General features: G+C 45.3%; 1 pseudogene, besides 2 other annotated features; it reads left to right on the forward strand.

Annotated features, from left to right (window-relative positions):
- Positions 1,575-1,624: a silencer, noted in NCBI's record as "silent region_6844". NCBI's record gives its function as "represses an Ori minimal core promoter by ATAC-STARR-seq in GM12878 lymphoblastoid cells {active_cell/tissue: GM12878}" and the evidence as "EXISTENCE:reporter gene assay evidence [ECO:0000049][PMID:35858748]".
- Positions 1,735-1,884: a silencer, noted in NCBI's record as "silent region_6845". NCBI's record gives its function as "represses an Ori minimal core promoter by ATAC-STARR-seq in GM12878 lymphoblastoid cells {active_cell/tissue: GM12878}" and the evidence as "EXISTENCE:reporter gene assay evidence [ECO:0000049][PMID:35858748]".
- RPL31P6 (ribosomal protein L31 pseudogene 6) lies at positions 6,301-6,582 on the forward strand (annotated as a pseudogene).

An 8,580-nucleotide genomic window follows, 5' to 3' on the forward strand; every position in this document is an offset into this window, starting at 1 on the left:
AGTTCCACTTCTGAGTATATGCCTAAAATAATTAAAAGCAGGGACTCAAATTTTTAAATGTTTATTTTTTTAATTATTTATTTATTTTTAATTTCAATAGTTTTTGAAATAGCCAAAAGGTGGAAGCAACCCAAATATCCTTAAACAGATTAACGGATTTTTAAAATGTGGTCTAAGTAAGTGGAAAAAGAAAATGTAGCATATATACACCATGGAACACTACTCAGCCATAAAAAGGAATGAAATAATGTCTTTTGCGGCAACTTGGATGGAGCTGGAGGCCATTATTCGAAGTGAAGTAACTCAGGAATGGAAAACCAAATACCATATGTTCTCACTTATAAGTGGGAGGTAAGCTATAAGTAGGCAAAGGCATAAGAGTGATATAATGGACTCTGGGGACTTGCAGGGGAAGGCTGGTCGGGGGGCGAGGTATAAAAGACTACACATTGGGTACAGCATACACTGCTTCAGTAACAGGTGCACTAATATCTCAGAAATCAAGGCTGAAGAATGTATCCACATGGCTGGGCACGGTGGCTCACTCCTGTAATCCTAGCACTTTGGGAGGCAGAGGCAGTCGGATCACCTGAGGTCAGGAGTTCAAGACCTGCCTGGCCAAAGTGGTGAAGCCCCGTCTCCACTAAAAATACAAAAATTAGCTGGGCGTGGTGGCAGGTGCCTGTAGTCCCAGCTACTCGGGAGACTGAGGCAGGAGGATCGCTTGAACCCAGGAGGGGAAGATTGCAGTGAGCCGAGATCCTGCCACTGTACTCCAGCCTGGGCGACAGAGCAAGACTCTGCCCCCCAAAAAAAAGAATGTATCCACACAACCGAACGCCACCTGTACCCCAAAAACTATTGAAATAAAAAATAATTTTTTTAAAAAAGGAAGAAAGATATGTGGTCTATACGTAAAAGTGGCAAAATGTGGTGATACACACACACACACACACACACACACACACAGGAATATGATTCAGGCTTATTAAAAGGCAGGCAATTCTGGCACAGGCTACAGCAGGAATGAGCCTTGAGGCCATGATGCTAAGTGAAGTCAGTCCATCACAAAAGGACAAATGGGACTGTGGCATTCCGCTTCTATGGGGTGCGGAGAGTGGTTAGATTCCTCCAGACAGAAAGAGCACGCTTGGCTGCCAGGGCCGGGGAGAGCGGGGAGAGGGGAGCGGGAGTTATCATTTCACGGACGCGATGTTTCGTCCCCTTTGATGAAGCGTTCTGGAGATGGGCAGTGGCGACACTCGCCCATATACGCAACGGCTGAGTGCACTCCATGCCACCGAACTGGTTAAGATGGTAAATTTTCTGTTGTGTGTATTCAACCACAATTTTTTAAGCCACTTTCTCCGTTCTTTCATTGAGAACTCCGGGGATCAAAGAAGAACGCCAGCTGCGGTGGACCGCTGAGGAATGGCCGGAGTCCGGGCGCGAGCGCCGCTTCCCCTCGCCCTCCTCCTCTCCCTTCCCGCGGCCCCTGGAGGCCGAGACCCATCCGCGTCCCGCGCGCGCTTTCCTCAGAGGCTCGGCCGGGCGCCCTGCTTCGAAGTGGGCCTGAGGAAGCCTCCGCCTCCGCCGCTGCTTTCTCCCCCTTCCTTCTCCAGCGGCTCCTCCAGGCCGCTCCAGAGACCCCGAGGACCCAAGGACGGTGCCGGGCGGAAAGTCTGTGCGAAGCTGGTGAAAAGGTTGCCCGGAGAGAGCGGAAGCTGTGAGGATGGGCAAAGCGCCCCTGCCCAGCCGCCCCGCCGCAGAACCGGTACACGCGCCTGCCCGCCCCGGGCGCCCCTTTGGCGCTGAGCTTTTCGTGCGGGGCGCGCATCCCTCTCCACTCCGGCTCTCTGGCGCCATCTTGTGTAGCTTTCTTAAACAGCCACAAAATGCGGATCTTTTAGGTCTCTAGTAACATGATTTCTCAAGTACAAAAATAGTTTCCGATATCTTATTGAAGAAAACATTTTCTTCTCTACAAGAAAGCAAAGTTTACCCATTGTTCTAGCACATAATGAGCAAGGCTTTGTTTCCTGAACATATTCGTAACTATTTCAAGGATAATCTTAAGTATAGAAGTTGGTTTTAGTCTAACGTCTTGCCTTTCAGAAACGACTTGGGAGACAGAAAGAAAGAAAAATGAACGTTTAAAATTTTATCAGAGCCAGACGAGGAGCAGGATAAGCCAAATATATTATAAACTCGTTTATATAACCCCTGTTATCTTGACTCAACAAGTAAGGTGCAAGTAGGCACAATTTAAACAACCACAAGTAGAATTAATATAACTGCAAGTCTAGTCAATTAATACAAAGGCACATGCAGTCCAGGGACCCCTGCCCCGTGATGCTAACAACTGAATCCACACTCACAGATCTGCTGATCTATGGGGTGGGCTGTGTTGCTAAAACCAAAAATTGACATCTCAAAGAGGGAGCAAATTAACACGCAATTGTGAAGAAAAATCCATCGTTGGTTAATCTAGCAAAAGTGCTTCCTCTAGTAAATTTAGTATCTGAATGTCAAGTACCAACTCAGAAGTTGAGACAAGCCTTTCTAATTCTCATGGAATTACAAACAAATTTTTTTTATTCCACAAAGAAATAAAGAAATACGAAGTGCTTCCAGCAAGTTACACGGGGGAAAGGGGAAAAAAAAGCCACTTTGGAGCTACAGTCCCACTTCTAGTTATTAGTGTCTTTGAGAGGGCTTTACAGTATCCGCTCTGCTCACAGGAGGCCTTAAGCTGCGGGGAGATTCATGGGACTCAGACGCAGGCTGTATTCTTGAGATCCAGCCAGGTTTTCCACCGACTCACTTCACTTTAGAGTCTGCAGAGTTCAAACAGAACAAAGAAGTAATAGGATCCTGCGGCGGGGAAGGAAGCTGGAGCCTTCCACACTTGGGGCCAAGCTGTAAGCCAAAAGATTAAGTTATAAAAGCAGATTCTTACAACTTGAAGTAGAGAAAGTCTCAATAAGGAAGACACAAACCCAGGAGTGGGAGGCTGCAGTGAGCTATGATCACATCACTGCATTCCAGCCTGGGTGATAGAGTGAGACCCCGTGTGTAAAAATAATAAAAAATAAAATATGGTAAAATATCGATTTAAAAAAAAAAAAAAAGAAAAAGAAAAAAAAAAGAAAGACACAGCACTTCCCCAGCAAGAAGGAAGGCCTATGGATGACACTTTTTTTTAAAGTCACATTTCCCAAAAATGCAAGGGTATCATCGCCGCAGTAAAAGGAGTCAGGCTCTGAGGTCGGAGCGCCCGGTGTGACTTGAGACAGCTTCAGCAGCAGTTCTGGGCCCCAGGACTCTCAGCTCCTCCTCAAGGTTAATAATTCCTGCCTCAGAGGACTAAAAGGAACAAAAGTGTAGCATCCCTAGGACAGAGTCTGGCCCAAGCAGGTGCTCAGTATATAGCAGGTGCCATTCCAGCAATGGTGATGATAATGACAGCCCTACCATTACTGAAGCAAACCTGCCACCCTCTCCTAATGGGCATTCGCATTCACTTACTAACAATAGCTAACACTCGTTGGGTACTTACTATGTGCTGGGCACTGTGCATCAAATTATTTCACTTAACCTGTGGGGCACTTAAATGTAGCCACATCTAATACCCCCACTTTACAGATAACAAAACAGGTTCAGAGAGGTTAGGTAATGTATTAGTCAGCATAGGCTAACTACTGTAACAAACAACCCCCAAAACCTCATGGCTCAACACAAAGTTTACACCTCCCCCATATCCTGGTGGCAGGAGCATGAGAGAAAGGACTCACTCTAGGGTCACTCAGGGAGCCAGGCCCCTTCCATATTGTGACTCCTCCACTGCCTGCCCCTGTGTCTGCTGCTGGATGCCCTGCTTCTAGCTACAGCTGAGGGAGAAGAGACTAAGAAAATCCAGAGCTCTTACCCACCTCAGCCAGAAGTGGCATGTGGCACTTCTGCTCAGAGCCTGCCAGCTTAGTCTGTTGGCCCCACGTAGGTGTAAGGGGCAGGGAAATAGTCTATTGGTATTCCCAGGAAGAAGAGAACAGAAATGGAGATTGGTGTGCAACAATCGTTTCTACAACAATGAACTTGCTTGAGATCACATGGCCAGTAAAAATGGAAGTGAGATGTGAACCCAAGCAGTCTGAGTTCACACCCTGACCTCCTAACCATGGAGCTACACTATCACCTAAGGAACTGTGGAGGTTTTTGAACAGAACCCCAAAATTCTTTACCATTCTTCTAATCAAGAGGTGGGTCAGTGTTGAATCTGGGCTTTGTTAGTCTTTGACCAGTAGAATACATCAGAAATTACCACTATGACCATGTCCAAGGTCTTAAGATGCTAGCAGCTTCTACTTCCTATCTCTTGGGACACTCACTTTTGGAGCCCAGCTGCCATGCTGTGAGGAAGCCCAAGCTAGTCTATGCTGAGAAACCACATGGAATGGCCACCTATATTTGTTCCAGCTGGCAGACAAGGAGGGGTCCCAGCCATCACCCAGGACCAGCCACCAGACATGCAAGTGAAGATGCTTCCAGATGATTCCAGGCCCAAGAAATCAAGTCATCCTCAGCTCCTGAGTCTTCCCAGCTGAAGCTCAGACATCATGGAGCAAAGACAACTCATCATGGCTGTGCTCTGTCTCAATTCCTCCACTCATTTCTAAAGATCCTAGGTCCTGTGGATCCTACTTTCTCATATCTCAGCTGTGCCCCAGATTCATTATTCAATTTGTGCCCAAGATATTTAAGATTCCTGGTGTGAAGTACATTTGAAAATGTACATTTGTGGGCCGGGCTCACGCCTATAATCCCAGCACTTTGGGAGGCTGAGGTAGGCGGATCACCTGAGGTCAGGAGTTCAAGACCAGCCTGGGCAACGTGGTGAAACCCTGTCTATACTAAAAATACAAAAATTAGCTGGGTTTGGTGGCATGCACCTGTAGTCCCAGCTAGTCAGGAGGCTAAGGCAGGAGAATTGCTTACACCCGGGAGGCGGAGGTTGCAGTGAGCTGAGATCGTGCCATTGCACTCCAGCCTGGGCAACAAGAGCAAAACTCCGTCTCAAAAAAAAAAGAAAAGAAAAGAAAAATCGACATTTGTGGTCCCATTAAACACCACAAAGTTTAACTCTTTTGGAAATACAGTTCACAATTAAAACAAAAGTCACTCTAGTGTACCCTGCTAAATTAAACAATTTAGTATATCTCTTTGGTGAGACCAGACTTCTGCAAACCTCACACCAGAAAACAGGTTTAACAATTTTTCATAGTAAGACAATACACTTGGGACTTGAGGGTGGACAAAGCATAAGTAAGCTTAGAAAATGATAATGAACATAAGAAAATAATTATGCTGTCTTTAAACATGATGAAACCATCTCATTAAGCCTAAATTAATTTAAAGGTCAACAATGCATAATTTATGTGGGCTCATAAAATGCATTATGTAAATGATGATTAAACCAATATCCTCTTTTTTTCTTATCTCTGTCCTATTAACTCTAGAAACACTAGAACGCTGGTATATGCTATGTGATAGTAACAAATTTGAAAGATACCAGGTTTTCCTGACACTATTTCTCTTTTTTTTTTTTTTCTGAGATGGAGTATCGCTCTGTCGCCTAGGCTGGAGTGCAGTGGCGCGATCTTGGCTCACTGCAACCTCCTCCTCCCAGGTTCAAGCAATTCTCCTGCCTCAGCCTCCCAAGTAGCTGTGATTACAGGCAGCCGCCAGCACGCCCAGCTAATTTTTGAATTTTTAGTAGAGATGGGGTTTTACCATGTTGACCAGGCTGGTCTCAAACTCCTGACCTCAAGTCATTCACCCACCTCGGCCTCCCAAAGTGCTAAAATTACAGGCATGAGCCAACACACCCGGCCGCCTGAAGTTACTTCTGATAAAAATAAATGCCACAGACACCAAATTCACTGACATTTTAGCAAATTCCACAGTATGGGGTCCCAGGAGATCAGTGCTGCAAGGGAGGAGCTTTAGGAAAGACTACAGAAATGAAGTAAAATAGCCCAAGACAAAATATGCCAGTTTCACAATGTGGCTGGGAGCTGTCCCATATGACTGGGACATACGTTTTCAGTACTAAGGAGCTGAGCCAATGTGAGTCCCTGTGGAGAAAGATGCCCTGATTCATTCAACATTCATCTGTTCCAGGCCCTGAGAATACAGATGCAGAAAAAAACAAAACAAAAATCCCTGCCTACTACCCAACTCGGGCCAGGCAGAATGGCTCTTGCAAAGACAGATAGCGAAAAGGGCCCTCAATGGAGTGAGAACCCAAGAATACACCATCAACATTCCCAAGCACATCCAGGGAGTGGGTTTCGAGAAGCATCCTCCTGAGCACACTCAAAAGCCTCTGGAAATTTGCCATGAAGGCGATGGGGACTCCAGAAGTGCACATTGATACCAGGCTCAACAAAACTGTCTGAGCTAAAGGAATAAGCAACGTCCTATGCTGTATCCATGTGCAGTTGTCCAGAAAACATAATCAGAATGAAGATTCACCAAACAAGCTCTACACTTCAGTTACCTATACCTATTACCACTTTCAAATACCTACTGATAGTCAACGTGGATGACAACTAACCATTGATCATCAAATACATCAAATAAAGTTATAAAACTGCAACAACAAAAAAATCCCTGCCTTCATGGAACTTACATCCTTATGAGGAAAGACAGTTAATTAACAAGTTGGTTATAAACACTATGGAGATAAAGTCAATCAGGGAAGATGGAAACAGATCGTAAGCGATTTACAATTTCAAATAGGGTGAGGAAAGCCTGTTCCAGGAACAGAGAACAGAAAGAGAAAAGGCCTTGATGCAAGTGCAAAGAATAGCAAGAAGGTCAGTTTGACAAGAACAGTGATTAAAATGAAAAATAATAAGAGAGAAAAAAGGTAGAGTGAGGGTGAGGGATACATTGGAAGGCAGTGTAGCTGACTGCAAGGTGTTATGGACTGAAAGTTTGTGTCCCCTCCGAAATTCACATATTGAAATCCTAACCCCTAAGGTGATAGTATTACAAAGTGGGGCCTTTTGGAGGTGATTAGGTCATCAGGGTGGAGCCCTAGTGATGGGATTAGTGCCTTTCTAAGAAGAGACATGAGAGCTTCCTGGCGTCTTTCACCCTGTTCTCCACCATGTGAGGATACAATGAGAAGACAGCCATTTGCAAAGCAGGACACAGGCCCTCACCAGACATCAGATCTGCTGGCACCTTGATCTTGGACTTCCAGGCTCCAGAACTGTGAGAAATACATGTCTGTTGTCTATGCCACCTAGTCTGTGGCATATTTGTTACAGCAGCTCGAACTGACTAGGACACAAAGATTTAGGATTGTAACGGAGACTGTAGTCAGTGGTGGATTATAAGGAAAGGAATACATTATCAGACTTCATAGTCTAACAGAATTACTCTGGCTACTAGAGTGAGAATAGGCTGTAGGGGGCAAGAGTACAAGACGACATGTATTAGTCCATTCTCACACTGCTATAAATACCTGAGATTCCGTAATTTATAAAGACAAGAGGTTTAACTGAGTCACAGTTCTGCAGGGTGTACAAAAAGCATGGCTGGGGAGGCCTCAGGAAACTCACAATCATGGCAGAAGGCAAAGGGGAAGCAGGCGCGTCTTATGTGGCTGAAGCAGGAGGAAGAGAGAGAGCGGGGGAGTGCTACATACTTTTAAACAAGCAGATCTCATGAGAACAAAACAGCATCACAAAAACAGCACCAAAGGGGGATATCTGCCCCCATAATCCAGTCACCTCCCACCAAGCCCCATCTCCAACGCTCCAACAATTCAACATGAGATTTGGGTGGGGACACAAATCCAAACCATATCAGCATATTTCAAAAATATAAGCAAAATATAATAATAATGGGCCGGGTGCAGTGGCTCATGCCTGTAATCCCAGGACTTTGGGAGGCCAAGGCAGGTGGATCACTTGTGGTCGGGAGTTCAAGACCAGCCTGGCCAGCATAACGAAACCCCATCTCTGCTAAAAATACAAAAAATTAGCTGGGCGTGGTGGCGCACGCCTATAATCCCAACTACTCAGGAGGCTGAGAGGAGAATCGCTTGAACCCAGGAGGTGAATGTTGCAGTGAGCCAAGATCGCGCCACTGAACTGGGGACAGGGTGAGACTCCACCTCAAAAATAAATAAATAAATAAATAGTAATAATGGCTTAGTAATAGCAAAGCCACTTACATCAGACTATTCCTACTGATGATCACAATTATAAACTCTGAACAAAATACAAAATACAGCTGTTTAAAGACACTGGAGAGTGACCAACAGTAGGCAGAAAAAGAAGGGGACTTGACATTGAAAAAAAAGTGAATCACACCAAGTGAGGCCAACAAACACATACGTGGCTCTTGCCCTCAGGACATGCCCTAGTTTGTCTAGCATGGCAGATAGGGTCAAGCAGAGAGCCTGTAGTTGTGTTGGTCTGTGGAGTCAGAAGGGACTTGCCCAAGCAACTGCTTATTGAATGGAGGATTCACAGAATTCTATAGATTGGAAGAAGTCAGGAAGGG

Source organism: Homo sapiens, chromosome 15 (assembly GCF_000001405.40).
Source record: "Homo sapiens chromosome 15, GRCh38.p14 Primary Assembly".
Classification (NCBI taxonomy): Eukaryota; Metazoa; Chordata; class Mammalia; order Primates; family Hominidae; genus Homo; species Homo sapiens.